Source organism: Homo sapiens, chromosome 10 (genome assembly GCF_000001405.40).
Source record: "Homo sapiens chromosome 10, GRCh38.p14 Primary Assembly".
NCBI lineage: Eukaryota > Metazoa > Chordata > Mammalia > Primates > Hominidae > Homo > Homo sapiens.
Window position 1 is genome coordinate 87,107,944 of NC_000010.11, and position 19,002 is coordinate 87,126,945.

Consider the following 19,002-nt stretch of genomic DNA (forward strand, 5'->3'; position numbering starts at 1 on the left):
TGCAATCTCAGCTCATGGCAACCTCTGCTTCCTGGTTTCAAGCAGTTCTCGTGCCTCAGCCTCCCAAGTAGCTGGAATTGCAGGTACACATCATCACACCTGGCTAATTTTTGTTTTTTGCTTTTTTGAGACGGAGTTTCGCTCTTGTTATCCAGGAGTGCAATGGCGTGATCTTGGCTCACTGCAACCTTCACCTCCCAGGTTCAAGTGATTCTCCTCCCTCAGCCTCCCAAGTAGCTGGGATTACAGGCATGCGTCACCACACCAGGCCAATTTTGTGTTTTTAGTAGAGGCGAGGTTTCTCCATGTTGGTCAGGCTGGTCTCGAACTCCGGACCTCAGGTGATCCGCCCTCCTTGGCCTCCCAAAGTGCTAGGATTACAGGCGTGAGCCACTGCGTTCAGCCTAATTTTTGTATTTTTTAGTGGAGACGGGATTTTGCTGTGTTGGCCAGGCTGGTCTTGAACCCCTAACCTCAAGTGATCCACCGCCCCTTGGCCTACCAAAGTGCTGGGATTACAGGCTTGAGCCACCATGCCCAGCCTAGAGATGAGGTCTTGCTATGTTGCCCAGGCTGATCTCCAACTCCTGGGCTGAAGTGACTCTCCCACCCCGGCCTTTTAAAGTACTGGGATTACAGGTGTGAGCCATTGTGCTTGGCCAACTTCATTTCTAAATAACTAAAATTTCCTTAGCTCTGTTTCTACTAGGTAATAGAGAACAATCCTGCTAAACAATCTTGCCACTTTAGGATAAAAAGTCAGTAGCTTCTGGCTTAACTAAATTAATTACATGTTAATCTAAACCCTTGGTAAATACTTGGTCCTTTTGGTAAATGTTCAGTTTCCTCACAGAGCCCACCCCTTCCCTTTTTTTCCCTATGGTAGATGGTATTGGTAGAGAAATCTTATAATTTTTCCTGGCATTAAGGGAGAGTCATCTTATCTTTGTGCTGTCCTCTGTCCTTCTGAGCCATTGCAAATGACTGGCTTGGTCTTGAATGGGATTGTCTGCCTCTGCCACTTCTGAGGATGATGTCCCTGCTACTACTGTAGCCCCTGGGCAACACATCTGTGCATGCTGGGTCCTCCTTAATCCCAGGCTGTTTTGGGTATACTGGCCCAGTGGTGAGTGCTGATATGCTTGGGACCCTAATAAAGCAGCTTTTCAGGAATATGGTTTGGGCATGTCATTGGCTATTATGCCTTTAGCAAGGCATGATATTGTATTAGGTGCAAGGTTTTACTAAATGGCTACAGTCCCTGGACCATAACTTGGGAAAGGGAAACACAATTATTTCCCATTCTGGGTCCTTCCCCACAAACACTGGAGATTTTTCTTACCCTTCCGCAAATAAGATTTTTTTTTTTTTTTTGAGACAGTTTCATTCTTGTTGCTCAGGCTGGAGTGCAATGGCTCGATCTCGGCTCACTGCAGCCTCTGCCTCCTAGATTCAAGCGATTCTCCTGCCTCAGCCTCCCGAGTAGCTGGGATTATAGGCGCTTCTACCACACCCAGCTAATTTTTTGTGTTTTTGGTAGAGACAGTGTTTCGCCATGTTGGCCAGGCTGGTCTCGAACTCCTGGCCTCAGGTCATCCACCCTCCCCGGCCTCCCAGAGTGCTGGGATTACAGGCGTGAGCCACCTCACCTGGCCCCTCAAATAAGATTTAGCTCCAGATAGGACAGGAGGCAAAAATTCTAAATTTACATCCACTCTTTCTTTTAACTCTTGTTTTTCTTTGAACTCTTCCCCCAAGTTTTTATGTCATCTTGATCAGTGTGAGAGAACTGTACTTATGTCATCACCTGCCTTTCCTCTGTGCTGGAGTCTACATGACAAATTCTGCCATGAAAGTTTTCTTGATTTGGTTGGTGATAGTTAAAATCACAGTTTTAGAATTTAAAAAGCTGTCTTGGCCGGGTGCAGTGGTATGGTTCTGAGGATTAATTTTATATACACACATATAAACACTCACACACACATTTGAGTTCAAAATGTATGTTACTACATTTTACAAAGGAATAAGTGATTTCATAGATTCTGTATCAATATTAAATCTTGGCTGGGTGCAGAGCCTCATGCCTGTAATCCCAGCACTTTGGGAGGCTGACACAGTTAAGATCACTTGAGCCCAGAAGTTTGAGACCAGCCTAGGCAACATAGTGAGACCCTGTCTCTACAAAAAATACAAAAATTAGCTGAGCATGTTGGCACACACCTGTAGTCCCAGCTACTCAGGAGACTGAGGTGGGAGGATCGCATGAGCCCAGGAGGTTGAGGCTGCAGTGAGCTATGATTCTACCACTGCACTCCAGCCTGGGCAACAAGAGAGAGACCCTGTCTCTCAAAATAAGTAAATAAATAAATAAAAAGTTCTCTTTTGGCCAGGCACAATGGCTCATGCCTGTAATCCCAGCACTTTGGGAGGCCGAGGCGGGCGGATCACAAGGTCAAGAGTTCGAGATCAGCCTAGCCAACAGGGAAACCCCATCTCTACTCAAAATACAAAAAATTAGCCGGAAGTGGTGGCGGGTGTCTGTAATACCAGCTACTCAGGAGGCTGAGGCAGGAGAATCACTTGAACCCGGGAGGCAGAGGTTGCAGTGAGCTGAGATTGCACCATTGCACTCCAGCCTGGGTGATGATGTGAGACTCCATCTCAAAAAAAAAAAAAAAAAGCTCTCTTTTCTCTTAAGCCTGTAGGTCTTATGATTGAAATTCTTAGCTTTCAAGAATTATCATTTTAATGGATCAAAGACCTAAATATAAGAACTGAAACTATAAAACGCTTAGAAGGAAATGTAGGTTTAAATATTCATGAACTTGGATCAGGCAGGTTTCTTAAATATGACTCCAAAAGTGCAAAAGAACAAATAGATAAATTGGACTTTATTAAAATTAATTTTTTTTTTTTGGTGAGATGGAGTTTTGCTCTGTTGCCCAGGCTGGAGTCAGTGGTGCCATCTTGGTTCACTGCAACCTCTGCCTCCCGGGTTCAAGCGATTCTCCTGCCTCAGTCTCCCAAGTAGCTGGGACTACAGGCGCGCACCACCACGCCTGGCTAATTTTTGTATTATTAGAAGAGATGGGGTTTCACCATATTGGCCAGGCTGGTCTCGAACTCCTGACCTCGTGATCTGCCCACTGTGGCCTCCCAACGTGCTGGGATTACAGGCATCAGCCACTGCGCCTGGCCCTTAAAATTAAAAATTTTTTTAAAGTTTTTATTTTTTTGAGACAGGGTCTCATCATGTTGCCCAGGCTGGAGTACAGTGGCGCCATCATGGCTCACTGCAGTTTCAACCTCTCTAGACTCAAGCGGTCCTCCCACCTCAGCCTTCTGAGTAGCTGGGACTGTAGGCATGTGCCACCACATCCCAGTAAGTTTTGTATTTTTTGTATTATAGAAATGGGGGCCAGGCACAGTGCTCACTCCTGTAATCCCAACACTTTGGGAGGCCGAAGTAGACGGATCACTTGAGGTCAGGAGTTCGAGACCAGTCTGGCCAACATGGTGAAACCCCCTCTCTACTACAAATACAAAAATTAGCTGGGCATGGTGGCACGCGCCTGTAATCTCAACTACTTGAGAGGCTGAGGCACGAGAATCTCTTGAGTCCGGGAGGTGGAGGTTGCAGTGAGCTGAGACCATGCCACTGCACCCCAGCCTGGTTGACAGGGCAAGAGTCTGTCTCAAAAAAAAAAAAAAAAAAAAAGAAGTGGGGTTTCACCATGTTGCCTAGACTGGTCTTGAATTCCTGGGCTCAAGCAACCTGCCTGCTTTGGCCTCCCAAAGTGCTGGGATTACAGGTGTGAGCCACTGCACCTGGCCAAAATTAAAAACTTCTATGTTTCAAAGGACATCATTAAGAAAGTGAAAAGACAACCTACAGAACGGGATTAAATATTTGCAAATTGTGTATCTGTTAAGGGTCTAGTATTTAGAATATGTAAAGAACTATCACAGCTCCATAAGAAAAAAGCAAATAATCCAATTGAAACAATGGGCAGGCCAGGTGCGGTAGCTCACGCCTGTAATCCCAGCACTTTGGGAGGCCAAGGTGGGCGGATCACGAGGTCAGGAGATCGAGACCATCCTGGCTAACATGGTGAAACCCCGTCTCTACTAAAAATAGAAAAAAATTAGCTGGGTGTAGTGGCGGGTGCCTGTAGTCCCAGCTACTCGGGAGGCTGAGGCAGGAGAATGGTTTGAACCCAGGAGGCTGCAGTTGCAGTGAATGGAGATTGCACCACTGCACTCCAGCCTGGGCGACAGAGCGAGACTCCGTCTCAAAAAAAAAAAAAAGGGCAAAGAATTTGAAGAGATATGTCTCCAAAGAAAATGTGCAAATGGCCAAATAAACACATGAAATAAACACATGAAAAGGTGTTGAAATCATTATTCATTAGGGAAATGCAAATAAAAATCACAGTGAGGCCAGGTGTAGTGGCTCATTGCCTATAATCCCAGCACTTTGAGAGACTAAGTCAGGAAGATCACTTGAGCCCAGAAGTTAGAGACCAGCCTGGGCAACATAGGGAGATAGGCGTGGTGGTTTGTGCCTGTAGTTCCAGCTAGTCGAGAAGCTGAGGTGGGAGGATCTGCTTGAGCCTGTGCCGTCGAGGCTGCAGTGAGCAGTGATGGTGCCACTGCACTCCAGCCTGGGCGGCAGAGCAAGACCCTGTCTCTAAAATAATAAATGATAATAATAATAATAATAGAGATACCAATTCACACCCACTAGAATGACTATAATAACTTAAATCTCAAAAAAAAAAAAAACCCAAAAAACAAAACCCCAACAACTGTTGGTGAGGATGTGGAGAAATGGGAACCCTTATAGGGTTCCTTACTGATAGGGATGTAAAATGATACAGATACTATGGGAAACAGTCTGGCAGTTCCTCAAAAAGTTAAACATACAGTTGCCATATGACACAGCAGTTCCATTCCTAGGTCATCCCAAGAGAAATGACTACATATGTCCATACAAATACTTGTACATGAGTGTTAATAGCAGCAATATTCATAATTGTAAAAGAGTGGGAACAACCTAAATGTAGATCAGCTGATGAATGGATAAACAATATGTGGTCCAGCCGGGTGTGGTGGCTCACACCTGAAATCCCAGCACTTTGGGAGGCCGAGGCAGGTGGATCACCTGAGGTTGGAAGTAGAAGACCACCTGACCAACATGGAGAAACCCCATCTCTACTAAAAATACAAAATTAGCCGAACATGGTGGCTCATGCCTGTAATTCCAGCTACTTGGGAGGCTGAGGCAGGAGAATCGCTTGAACCTGGGAGGTAGAGGTTGCAGTGAGCCGAGATCATGCCATTGCACTCCAACCTGGTCAATAAGAGCGAAACTTTGTCTCAAAAAACAAAACAAAACAAAAACAAAAACCAGTATGTGGTCCATCCATACAATTCAGCCACAAGAAGGAGTGAAGTACAGATTCATGCTGCAACATGGATAAACCTTAAAAACATTATGCTGAGTGAAAGAAGCCACGAAAGATCACATATTGTATGATCCCACTTATATGAAATGTTTAGAACAGGAAATCCATAGAGATAGAAAAGAGATAAATGGTTTCTAGGAGATGGGGAGGGAGGCAATTGGGAATGACTGTTAATAGGTATGGGGTTCTTTTTAGGTGATAGAAATGTTCTGGAATTAGTGTAGATGGTTGCAAAATGTGAATACACTAAAACTACTGAATTGTATACTTTGAAATGGTAAATTGTATGCTATGTCAATTAAAAAAAAGTATAGGCCAAGTGCAGTGGCTGAAGCCTGTAATCCCAGGCTTTGGGAGGCCGAGGCGAGTGGATCACTTGAGGCCAGGAGTTCGAGAACAGCCTGGCCAACATGGTGAAAACCCATCTCTATTAAAAAAACAAAAACTGGCTGGGCGTGTTGGTACATGCCTGTCATCCCAGCTACTGGGGAGGCTGAGGCACAAGAATTATTTGAATCCAGGAGGTGGAGGTTGCAGTGAGCCAAGATCACACCACTGCCCTCCAGCATGGTCAACAGAACGAGACTGTCTTGAAAAAAAAAAAGATAAATTATGGTATTTGCTTTGGAATTAAATAATTAGTAACTTTTAGTAAGGTTTGGTAAAGGTTTAGTAACCTTTAGTTAACCCAGTTAACTTCTGTGTCTTATATTTGTCTTTGTACTGAAGTAGTTGAATGCCACTGACCCACAGAATGAGTTGCCAGAGAACTGGAGCAACATTCTGTTTGTGGGAAAGAGAATACTCTGTTACTACCTTAATATTAGATTCCCAGCATATCAATTGAAGGGTTTTAAATAGTGAGTGATGTGTTTCAATTTATATTTATATTATATTTACACTTGATCTTAGCCAAAAGGCTGAGAAAGCGATTTTATATTATATTTATAAAGATCACTTTAGCTTTCTCCTGGAGACTGGATTGGTAGGGACAAGGTGACATTGGTGAACTTGGTTAGAAAGTCAGTCAAGCCCGTGTGCAGTGGCTCACGCCTATAATCCCAGCACTTTGGGAGGCCAAGGCAGGTAGATCATCTGAGGTTAGGAGTTCGAGACCAGCCTGGCCAACATGGTGAAACCCCTTATCTACTAAAAATACAAAGATTAGCCAGGCATGGTCGTGGGTGCCTGTAATCCCAGCTACTCAGGAGATTGAGGCAGGAGAATCACTTGAACTCGGGAGGTGGAGGTTGCAGTGAGCCGAGATTGCGCCACTGCACTCCAGCCTGGGCGACAGAGCAAGACTCAGTCTCAAAAAAACAAAAACAAACAAACAAAAAACCAGTCAGTACTCTAGGGAAGAAATAACAATAGCTATATTATGACATAGTAGTGAGTTGAAGATAACTGAATAGCCAAAATATATTTTGGAGATAGTTTGATATGAGAGGTGAGGAAAAGTAAGTAGTCATGTGTGGCTCTTTGTTTCTGGCTTTAATAACTCCAGTAGTTCTGGAAGAGACTTAGTGGGAAACATTTTGGATAAACTGAGTTTGTCCAAATGGGGTTGCCAAGTGGAGAGTTGAGTAAATGAAGCTAGAGCTCAGGAAAGATGTGGACCAGAGTTATAAGTCATATTTATTTATTTATTTATTTTGAGACAGAGTCGTGCTCTGTCGCCCAGGCTGGAGTGCAGTGGTGCGATCTTGGCTCACTGCAACCTCCGCCTCCGGGGTCAAGTGATTCTCCTACCTCAGCCTCCAGAGTAGCTGGTATTACAGGCACGGGCCACCATGCCCAGCTAATTTTTGTATTTTTAGTAGAGACGGGGGTTTCACCATGCTGGCCAGGCTGGTCTCGAACTCCCGACCTTAGGTGATCCTCCTGCCTCGGCCTCCCAAAGTGTTTGGATTACAGGTGTGAGCTACTGAGCCCAGCATAAGTCATATTTAAAACAATGGGAATGGGTAGGAACACCTAGAGATAGAGTGTGGGAAATAGAATAGGGTCCAGTATACAGCTGTGCCAAATTTCACATGTACAGGTTAGATAGTGGAGTGGGTCAGTTCTGTTGGGAATGCCCTGAAAGTTTGAATAATGATAAGCACGTCCTTTTAACATCATGAGGTAGTGGTGACGTTGTAAGAGGAGTTTCAGTGTAGTGGGTTGTCATGGGTTAAAACGTTCAGATTGTCATGGGTTAAAACGTGAATTGGATATGAGGAAGTGGAGTGCACAAAGATAGTTTTCTGAAAGTTTTACTTGGAAGAGGACAAAAAATTGAGACGACAGTTTGAGGAGGATGAAAGGTCAAGAATTCTAAGCTAGTGATAAAAATTTCGTCAACATCAATGAATAGGTAATGTAAACACATTAATCCTGGGATGGATGTGAGAAGAGCAAAGAAAGGAATCCTGGGGGAATATCAGCTCTAAAGGTTGAGTAGAGAAGGAAGGAGTGATCTGAGAGGTGGAAGGAGGAGTAGGAATTATCATAGAAACTTTAAGCTTCTTGAGGGCTTGTGACTGTGTCATGTTCATCATTTTATCTGAAGTTCTTATCAACAAAGTAGCTTTCAGTAAATATTTATTAAATGAAGATAAAAATTTTAAGAGCCATCTGCAATGTCAAATGTAGCCCACAGTTGAATGAATATGAGGACAGGGAAGTGTCCCTTGATTTTGGTGTTAAGCAGCTGATTGCCACCTTCTGTAGAACAGCTTCAGTGGAGTCTCCATAATAGAAATAAATGCCAGGTTGCTGAGGACTAAGCGTGGATATTTGTTGAGAGTGGAGACAGTAAGTGCAAACATTCTTTTCAGAAAGCTTTGCTCTTTTTGAAGCTTTGCTCATAGGGAGATACAAGATAGTAGGTAGAGGGGCAGGCTGTGTTTAGATGAGAGAGACTTCAGCATGTTTATATGCTAAATGGAAAAAGGAAAAAGGAAGGGAGAAGTTGAAGATGTAGAATAAAGGAGGTGTGTGTGAATGATTGTACATTGTCTTTGAGGTTAGTGGGAATGGAGTGAAGATACTGGGTTGCAGTACAGATGAGAATACAGTTTCCACTGAAGTAGGAATAAAGGAACAATAGATGGTGCAGATGGGGAAGTGTTTGGGTGGCAGGTGAGAATTCGGGATATGAACACTTTATTTTTTTCAGTGAAGGGGGGATAAGGTCATCCACTGAGATAGTGGGGAGGAAATGATGATTGTAGGGGACTGAGGAGAAAAGGAGAATTTCAAGAAAGCCTCTGAGGGAGGTGAGAGGGCAAGCTGAGTGGGAATACTTAGAAAAAATGGAATCATGGATTTTTCACGGCTGTGGTATATATATTTGTATGAATGATCTCCTCCTTCTCTCAGGGCTCAGCAGCCTGGGTGAACACACAATTGAACAGTTGGATTGATCTTGGCCTGGATTTTATGTGTCAGTGTGACAGAGAGGGTAAGGAGGCAAGATATTTCAGTAGCGAGAGTGTTTGAAGTGGTGGGCCATTGAGTCTAGGCTGAATAGGGAACAAATGAAACCAGAAGGTGGCTGCTGGGACATGAAGTGGTTGGTGTTCAAGACTGGATAGTGGAATTGAAGATTGAACGGGAGGAGCAGTTGCTGGTTATGACAGAGTACAGGATCCAGCTATGGAGTGGGTTTATGAAGTAGAGACAACGTTCCCAAGTCTTTAGTGAACATCAGAGAGTGTCATCTGTTAGAACTTTAGCTGCGGCCGGGCAAGGTGGCTCATGCCTGTAATCCCAGCACTTTGGGAGGCCGAGGTGGGCGGATCACCTGAGGTCGGGAGTTTGAGACCAGCCTGACCAACATTGAGAAACCCCATCCCTATTAAAAATACAAAATTAGCTGGGCGTGGTGGTGCATGCCTGTAATCCCAGCTACTCGGGAGGCTGAGGCAGGAGAATAGCTTGAACCTGGGAGGTGGAAGTTTCGGTGAGCCGAGATTGCACCATTGCACTCCAGCCTGGGCAACGAGTGAAACTCAGTCTTAAACAAAAAAGAACTTTTGCTCAAAGGCAGGTGGTAGCAGATAAGAGATAAGGAAAATTTAGTGAAGAAAAATTCAGTTTTTAAAAACGTTTTAGGCTGGGCGTGGTGGCTCACGCCTATAATCCCAGCACTTTGGGAGGCCGAGGTGGGCAGCTGGCTTGAGCCCAGGAGTTTGAAACCAGCCTGGGCAACATGGCAAAACCTTGTTTCTACAAAAAATACAAAAAATTAGTCAGGTATGGTGGCATGCACCTGTAGTCCCAGCTACTTGAGAGGCTGAGGTGGGAGGATCTCTTGAGCCCAGGAAGTTGAGGCTGCAGTGAGCTGTGATTGTGCCACTGCGCTCCAACCTGGGCAACAGAGGGAAACCCTGTCTCAAAAAACCCCAAAAAACAAAAAACAGCATTTTATTTTGGTGATGGAATTCTCTATTGTTTCGAAGAGTTTTGTTTGTTTTAAAGACATTAACCAGTTTTCTCGAGGGATATTCTATGAAAAAGTGGGTTCCATCATCCAATAAGTTTGAGAAACTGCAAACTCTATCCCATTGGTAATTCACAATGAACCTCAACTTAGATTAATAAAGGCTCTGGGAAATGATGTTACTATTAATGATTTAACCTTTATTGAGCACTGTCTAAGGCTCTGTTCTAAGGCTCCCACGTGCATTATTGTTTCCAGTCTTTACAGCAACTATCTCATTTAAGTTACACTGCTAAGCTAGAATGGAAGAGCTGGGATTCAAATCCAGAAAGACTTGCTCCATAGGGTTCTCAAGCCTATAACCAGTATGGAAACAGGCTTGACATTAAATCCAGCATTTCCCCATCTTGTTTGGTTATGGAACCTTATTATCTTTTAGTATTTATAGAGAGATTAGTCAGTTGTCCACGGCATGGACCCTGGGAAGTGTTGCCTGAGTCAGTTTACACTGGTGACTGCAGTCTTTTAAACAGCATTGTTTCAGACTATAACTAGTTTTTTCTAACTTGGTTCTCTGTTGATAATACTTAAATGTTATATTTATTTTTCTATTTGAGAGCCTTATATTTTGACTTCAAGGCATTTTCTATTCCCTTTCACAATGACCTTCCCAGGAATCAAAGATATTGTCACCACCACACATTACATTTGAGTTACTAAAACAGTTTATAATCCAAATAGCTATTTCACTTTCTTTTCTCTGGTCTAAGATTATCTCATTGTAATTTGTTTTTTAAATTTAGAGACAGGGTCTTGCTATGTTGTCCAGGCCAGTCTCAAACTCCTGAGTAGCTGAAAATATAGGCATGTGTCACCTCAACCAGTTTATTGTAAAATTTTAATGTTTAGAGATCTTGGAGATCATCTTTTATTTTTAACAGTATTTATTTAGTTTTGCAGGTAGAGAAAATGACAGCTGTGTAGTGCTGTGGAAATTATAATAATTCATATCCAAGCTTGAATGTCAGCTCCACCTCTTTACTATAGCTGTGGCCTTAGAAAACCTACTTCATTTCTTGAAACTTGTTTCTTCCTCTAAAAAGATGAGGATAATATCTTGCAGGGTGGCTATGAAAATTAAGACAGTTCATACAGTATCTGGCACATGGAAAGTTCTCAATGTTAATTACCCATTTTTTTCTGTTTAAGGAAATAGTCTCAATCCTATACCATGAATGAATTATGAAAATAGTTGGAAAGGAAACAACAGTTTTAAATGTAAACTGTCTCAGTCTTATGCTGACATCAGCTACATTTCTGGTAAAGTGATGGTGTCATGATACAGGTTATATTAAGAGTTAAAACCAGTTTCCTTCTGGCTTTCCAACTGACATAATAAGCAAAACCTGCCTGGGCAAACATAGACCTATTTATTGGCTCACTTATTATTAATGTTAAACTAGCTTTGGTGCTGACTTCTGTTCTTGTTTTAAAATTTCACTGTTGTCATTTAAAATCTGACAGACCTTCAGAAGCTTCATAGAATGCTTAATGGTTTAAATCGTCTCTAGAACATGTGAAGTATCTTTTCCAAAGTGGTTTTCTCCATCTGTCAGTATGTTCAAAATCATGTGTATAGGGCCGGGCGCCGGTGGCTCACGCCTGTAATCCCAGCACTTTGGAGGCTGAGGCGGGTGGATCACGAGATCAAGAGATCGAGACCATCCTGGCTAACATGGAGAAACCCCGTCTCTACTAAAAATATAAAAATTAGCTAGCCATGGTGGCGCGCACCTGTAGTCCCAACTACTCGGGTAGTCCCAACTACTCGGAAGGCTGAGGCAGGAGAATCACTTGAACCCGGGAGGCGGAGGTTGCAGTGAGCCAAGATCGCGCCACTGCACTCCAGCCTGGGCAACAGTGCAAGACTCTGTCTCAAAAAAAAAAAAAAAAATCATGTATATAGGACAGAATTGCTTATATTTTCACAATTACTACTGGATGCCTGTTTGGTTTTCATAGCAATCAACTTTTGGAGTTTATGGGCAGTACTTAACATATATAACCTAAGTGTGGATAATTATTTAAAATAAGGCTACTGGAAGAAAAATCTATAGGGATTTCTCAGTTTTCACAACAGCATCCTGAGCAAAGAAAAAATAGGTTGGTTTGAGTTGTATGTGATGAGATTTCTAATATTCTATTCGAAATGCCCCCTAGTAAGCACTAGTGATAGGTATTAATGAGCTGAATTTGATTTCTAGTTCCAACTCTGTCCCTTGCAACTTCGGTAACCTTGAAGGTTTGTCTACGTTTCAGTTTCTTCATATGTAAAAGAGATTACCAATATTTCCCTCCCAAGGCTGCTGTAACAGTGAAGTGTTGAGGTATTTATTTATTTATTTATTTATTTATTTATTTTTTTGAGACAGAGTCTTGCTCTATCGCCCAGGCTGGAGTGCAGTGGCATGATCTCGGCTCACTGCAAGCTCCGCCTCCCAGGTTCATGCCATTCTCCTGCCTCAGCCTCCCGAGTAGCTGGGAATACAGGTGCCCGCCACCACGCCCGGCTGATTTTTTCTATTTTTAGTAGAGACAGGGTTTCACCGTGTTAGCTAGGATGGTCTCGATCTCCTGACCTCGTGATCTGCCCGCCTCGGCCTCCCAAAGTGCTGGGATTACAGGCGTGAACCACCGCGCCCGGCCGTGTTGAAGTTTTTAATATAGCCAGCACAGCATGTGGCACATAGTAGGCACACAGCCATTGCATGTTTCTTCCAGACATCTCACTGCATTTTTCAGTAATATTCTTTTCAAGTACGTTCTTCTTTCTCATTCCTTAACATTTAAAAGCTGTATTGAAGAGAGAATATTAATGTTTGCGAAGTAAACTGAAAATATTTCCTTTGCAGCCCACACTTGAGTGTTTTAGGCCGGGTGCGGTGGCTCACGCCTGTAATCCCAGCACTTTGGGAGGCCGAGGTGGGCGGATCACCTGAGGTCAGGAGTTCGAGACCAGCCTCAATATGGAGAAACCCTGTCTCTACTAAAAATACAAAATTAGCTGGGTGTGGTGGTGCATACCTGTAATCCCAGCTACTTGGGAGGCTGAGGCAGGAGAATTGCTTGAACCCGGGAGGCAGAGGTTGCGGTGAGCCGACATTGCGCCATTGCACTCCAGCCTGGGCAACAAGAGCGAAACTCTGTCTCAAAAAAAAAAGAGTGTTTTAGCAAAAAATGATTTTATGTATGACATACCTTGGTTTAAATCCTGGCTTTTTAATTTTAATTTTTTATTTTTTGAGACAGGGTCTTACTCTGTGGCCCAGGCTGGGGTGCAGTGATGTGATCTCTGCTCACTGCAACCTCCGCCTCCCAGGCTCAGGTGATTCTCCCACCTGAGCCACCTGAGTAGCTGGGAGTAGAGGTGTGCTCCACTATGCCTAGCTAATTTTTCTATTTTTAGTAGAGACAGAGTTTCACCATGTTGCCCAGGCTGGTCTCAAACTCCTGGGCTTAAGTGATCCACCAGCCTCGGCCTCACAGTGTTGGGATTACAGGTGAGAGCCACCAAGCCCGGCCTGAATCCTGGCTTTTGAATGTAATAGTGTTGTGACCTTAGGCAAGCTGCTTAACCTATCCATAAATATTATGAGGCTAAAGTGAGTAATAGTATGTGTAAAACATCTAGTTCATTGTCTGGTTTGTATATTTCCAAAATAAATGTTATTATTTTAAGTGGAAACTGTTGTTTAATTTGATAATTCATATAATTCATGGCTTTTGAGAGCCTGCTCTACTCAAAGCCCGTTAAGAGCAGGCAGGAACATTGTGAACGAATGTTGGGCATATTATTATGCAAGTGACTGAATTTGGCTTTGCCTGTAATCAGGTTCAGCAAAAGTGGTATTTTCTTTCTTTCTTTTTTTTTTTTTTTTTTAATTGAGATAGTCTCGTCCTGATGGCCAGACTGGAGTACAGTGGTGTGATCTCGGCTCACTGCATCCTCCGCCTCCTAGGTTCAAGCGATTCTTCCACCTCAGCCTCCCAAGTAGCTGGGATCACAGGTATATGTCACCATGCCTGGCTAATTTTTGTATTTTTTGTAGAGATGGGGTTTCGCCATGTTGGCCAGGCTGGTCTTGAACTCCTGACCTACAGTGATCCGCCTGCCTTGGTCTCCCAAAGTTCTGGGATTACAGGCGTGAGCCACTGAACCTGGCCAAAAGTGGTATTTTCTATTGCATTTGAGGTAACAGAAATTGATGGGCTTGTTATTGCATTTGGCGTGGCTGGTTTTTTTTTTCCATGTTGTCTTTCTCCACTGACTGTCAAAAAAAAAAAAAAAAAAAAAGGCTACATTCATGAGTGCCACAAGAGAGATTCATGATTCCCAAGTGCTACAGCAGACCAAGGTATCTAAAAAGTTTTTCATCTTTTGCTGATCTTGTTTATTAGAAATAAATATGTTACTCTCCTGTATTAAAATTTAACACAATATTGGCAAGCTAAATTTAATCAAATATTCTGCCCATTTTAAAATTCACTTCCTAGCCTGTCCATCCTTCCTTTTATTTTGTTGTTGTTTGATTTTGTTTTATTGTATGCTTTTAGCAGCCTGAAGCCATGGTTTTTAGTTTCTGTCTGTAGTGATAAGTGGAAAGGAGGGATGAGGAAGGGGCTTTACTGGCCCAACCAGAAATAGAAACTAAGAACCCAGGACTGTATTATCTCCCTTGGACACCCAACACTATATAAAATTGATTCCTGCCCTGGCAGACTAAGCGTTGGAAAGCTGGTGCTAAGAGTGTTATGAGAATTCCTAATAAATAGAAAAGCTCAAGGATTGACACTATAGTAAAAGATTTCATTTTGACATGTTTATAATTTACTTATCAAGTTAACAATAAGGTGTTTTTATTTATTTATTTTTGTTTATTTTTATTTTATTTTTTGAGACGGAGTCTCGCTCTGTCGCCCAGGCTGGAGTGCAGTGGCTTGATCTTGGCTCACTGCAAGCTGTGCCTCCCGGGTTCACGCCATTCTCCTGCCTCAGCCTCCCGAGTAGCTGGGACTACAGGCACCTGCCACCACGCTCGGCTAATTTTTTATATTTTTAGTAAAGATGGGGTTTCACCATGTTGGCCAGGATGGTCTCAAACTCCTGAACTTGTGATCCACCCGCCTTGGCCTCCCAAAGTGCTGGGATTACAGGCATGAGCCACTGCACCTGGCCTTTTTTTGGTATTTTTAGTAGAGACGGAGTTTCACCATGTTGGCTAGGCTGGTCTCGAACTCCTGACCTCAAGGCCTGCCTTGGCCTCCCAAAATGCTGAGATTACAGGCATGAGTCCCAATAAGATTTTTAAAGGGATACCAAAATAATCAACATTTATTTTAGAAGGTGACTTTCTTCAATGAGATGTCAATGTCTACTTTCTGTTATATAGTGCTATTGTTTCTTTTTTCTTTTTTTTCTAAGTGAGGGTCTCACTCTATCACCCAGGCTGGAGTACAGTGGCATGATCTCGGGTCACTGCAACCTTCACCTCCCAGGTTCAAGCAATTCTTTCACCTCAGCCTCCAGGGTAGCTGGAACTACAGGTGTGCATGCCTCGCTAAGTTTTGCATTTTTAGCAGTTGTTGGCCAGGCTGGTGTACTGTTTCTTTTATTGATTGAGTTCTATATTTACACAGCATGAAAGTCTCAGTTGCATTAAGTACATTCGCATTGTTATGCAACCATCACCATTATCTAGTTCCAGAGTTTTGCTGTCACCCTAATAGAGCTTGTATATATGTCTCCACCAAATCTTATGTTGAATTGTAATTCCCAGTGTTTGAGGTGGGGTCTGTTGAGAGGTGTTTGGGTCATGAGGCAGATCCCTCATGGCATAGTGTTGTCCTCGCAGTAGTGAGTGAGTTCTCACGATCTCCTTACTCCATCCACCTGCTTCTCCTAAAACTTTGAAATATGCTTGGAATTGAAAGTGTTTAGTTTGAGGATAGTTATCTAAAAGTGACATACAGGGCTCCTGCTTTGCTCTTCCTTAGTAAATTTCCTATTTTATTACACAGTTTACTAATACAGAGGACTAGAGTTTTGTTATTTCCATGGAAAACATTATTGAATCTAAATTTAACTAGAGATGTGTAGTTCAGGGAGGGAGAGTGGTTTTATAATATGAATCTTGGATTTGAAATGAACTTAAAGCAAATGAATAAAAATTGTTTCATTAATTATAATGTCTGAAATAATGCATGTTTTTGTGAATAAAAATTGATATAATAAAGTTTAAAGTGACAGGAGTAGATATAACTAATTGTATTTATAATTTCTTGGATGTAAAATAACATTTTTGAAAAATATTATACAATGACCTCACATACAGTGACCTCACTTAATCTATGTGAGGCTATACACAGTGGCTCATGCCTGTAATCCCAGCACTTTGGGAGGCTGAGGCAGGTGATTGCTTGAGCCCAGGGGCTTAAGACCAGCCTGGGAAACATGGTGAGACCCTGTCTCTACAAAAAATACAAAAATCAGCTGGGCATGGTGAGGCGCACCTTTGGTCCCAACTACTTGGGATGCTGAGGCAGGAGGATCACTTGAGCCCAGGAGGTTGAGGCTGCAGTGAGCTGTGATCGCACCACTGCACTCCAGCCTGGGTAACAGAATGAGACCCTATCTCAAAAAAAAGAAAAAAGTCTATGTGGAAGATACCACGTTAATTGTTTTGGGTGGTTTAGAGATGTTTCTGTCTCCTTCACTGATGACCATGTGTCTCTGCTGCTGTCGCTCACTGGTGATTATCAACTCAACTTCTTACATTTGTTTTAACAAATATTTATACACCCTTTGTAAATTTGCATGAGATAAAGTCATTATAGTTAAAAAAATTGTTTTTTTTTTTTTTTTTGAGACAGAATCTTGCTCCATTGACTAGGCTGAGTGCAATGACATCATCATGGCTCACGGCAGCCTGAACCTCCTGGGCTCAATTGATCCTCCTACCTCAGCCTCCTGAGTAGCTGAAACTACAGGTGCATGCCACTATGCCCAGCTTGTTTTTTATTTTTTGTAGAGACAGGGTCTCACTATGTTGGCAGGCTGGTCTCTAACTCCTGGGTTCAGGTGATCCTCCTGCCTCGGCCTCCCAAAGTGTTAGGATTTCAGGTGTGAGCCACCATGCCTGTCCTATGAAGTCATTACAAAGAAATTAAATTAATTGGTTTCATTGGCAGTATTGAATTTCAAAGCAGAAGGGGTGCTTAAGAGAAATAATGCCTTTGGAGTAATTTCTGATGCTAGATGAAACTCATATCTCATTTAAGGTGTCCATCTGAATTTTATGTTTGGATGATTATGAATTATTCCTTAAAGCTTGAAGTGAACTCTGGCTCTCTAGGACAAATTAATCTTTATTCCTTTAATCTTTATTCCCTTAGGTATATATTAAAGGGATCAAATTTTTTTTTAGAGTAATGTAAAATTAAGGGACTTCTTTTGTTAGGTGAATTTCTCAGGTTTTAAGATATCAGTATCATTGTGGACATTGACTACATTGTCTACTAAATTCTGTAATTTTAACTTATAATTCTCAGTAATTGGCTGGGTGTGGTGGCTGACGCCTGTAATCCTAGCACTCTGGGAGGCCAAGGCGGCAGATCACCTGAGGTCAGGAGTTGGAGACCAGCCTGGCCAACAGGGTGAAACCCCGTCTCTACTGAAAATACAAAAAAATGAGCCGGGCGTGGTGGCGGGTGCCTGTCATCCCAGCTACTGGGGAGGCTGAGGCAGGAGAATTGCTTGAACCCAAGAGGTGGAGGTTGCAGTGAGTTGAGAATGCGCCATTGCACTCCAGCCTGGGTGACAAGAGTGAAACTCCATTTCAAAAATAAATAAATAAACAATAAAAATAAAAATACAAAAATTAGCTGGGCGTGGTGGCGGGTGCCTGTAATCCCAACTACTCGGGAGGCTGAGGCAGGAGAATCGCTTGAACCCGGGAGGCGGAGGTTGCAATGAGCCGAGATCACGCCACTGCACTCCAGCCTGGGCTACAAGAGTGAGACTCTGTCTCAAAATAATAATAATAATAATTCTCAGTAATTTTTGCAATTTTTTTGGTACCTAAAATAATTTCTGTTATTGTGTTGGATAACTTTGTCAACTTCACTTTGGGAATATCTAAATATAGGTAGCTGCATTCGAGCCAGAGGAATATTGGGTTTTTTTGTTGTTGCTTATTTTTGAGGCAGCCTTACTTTGTCACCCAGACTGGAGTACATTGGCACAATCATGGCTCACTGCAGCCTTGACCTTCTGGGCTCGTGTGGTCCTCCCAACCCAGCCTCCCAAGTAGTTGGGACTAAAGGTGTGCACCACCATGCCTGGCTAATTTTTAAATTTTTTTGTAGGGATGGAATTTTGCTATGTCACCTAGGCTGGTTTCGAACTCCTAGGCTCAAGCAGTCCTCCCACCTTGGCCTCCCAAAGTGCTGGGATTACAGGTATGAGCCACCACACCCAGTTGAGCAATACTGGGTTTTAATCAAGATTATTGTCTGAATATTGAGTCTTAATGACTTTTTTGATTTTGTTTTTTTGGCCATAGTATTAAGTTTGCAGTTGATAACCTTCTGTACTAACTAGAAGTAGTATAGAAACTGCAAATTAAAAAAAAACCCCAGGTAAAATGTTGATGGCTGCTATTTTTATTTAAGGTATTAGTAAAGGAAAAGAAGTCAGGGACATTATGGAGGTCAAGTTTTATATTATTAAAACTCAACTTCATGATTTATACATACTTAGAAATAGTCTGAGTGATGTGTGACCAAAATATGATTTCTAGGAGGAATGATTGTTACATCCGTGGAATAGCTGCGTACACTTTATTGTTCTTGGTGCTTAAACTTTAGTTGTCCTGCTAAGATAAAGGAAGACATTCTTTCAGTTGGAAATCATAATGTATTTCTCCATTGAAACAGTATGGTTTGAACAGTGCTATATATTCTTACTCATTATTATTCCTTAAATGAATATTTTAAGCTCCTGATAGAAGGCAGGTACTGTGTTATATGCTGTTGGTGTTACCAGAA

The 19,002-nt window shown here is 42.5% G+C and overlaps 1 protein-coding gene across 32 annotated transcripts in view; it reads left to right on the top strand.

The window, feature by feature from the left end:
* The window catches only part of SHLD2 (shieldin complex subunit 2), a 96,993-nt gene that overhangs the window by 13,471 nt on the left and 64,520 nt on the right, over positions 1-19,002 (top strand). For 2 of the 32 annotated variants that reach the window (NM_001377159.1, NM_001377167.1), the window contains exon 3: positions 13,849-13,964. The exons of the other annotated variants lie outside the window; for them this stretch is intronic. The gene's annotated coding sequence lies outside the window, so the exon portion shown is untranslated. The remainder of the gene's footprint in view (positions 1-13,848; positions 13,965-19,002) is intronic. 32 annotated transcript variants of the gene reach the window in all.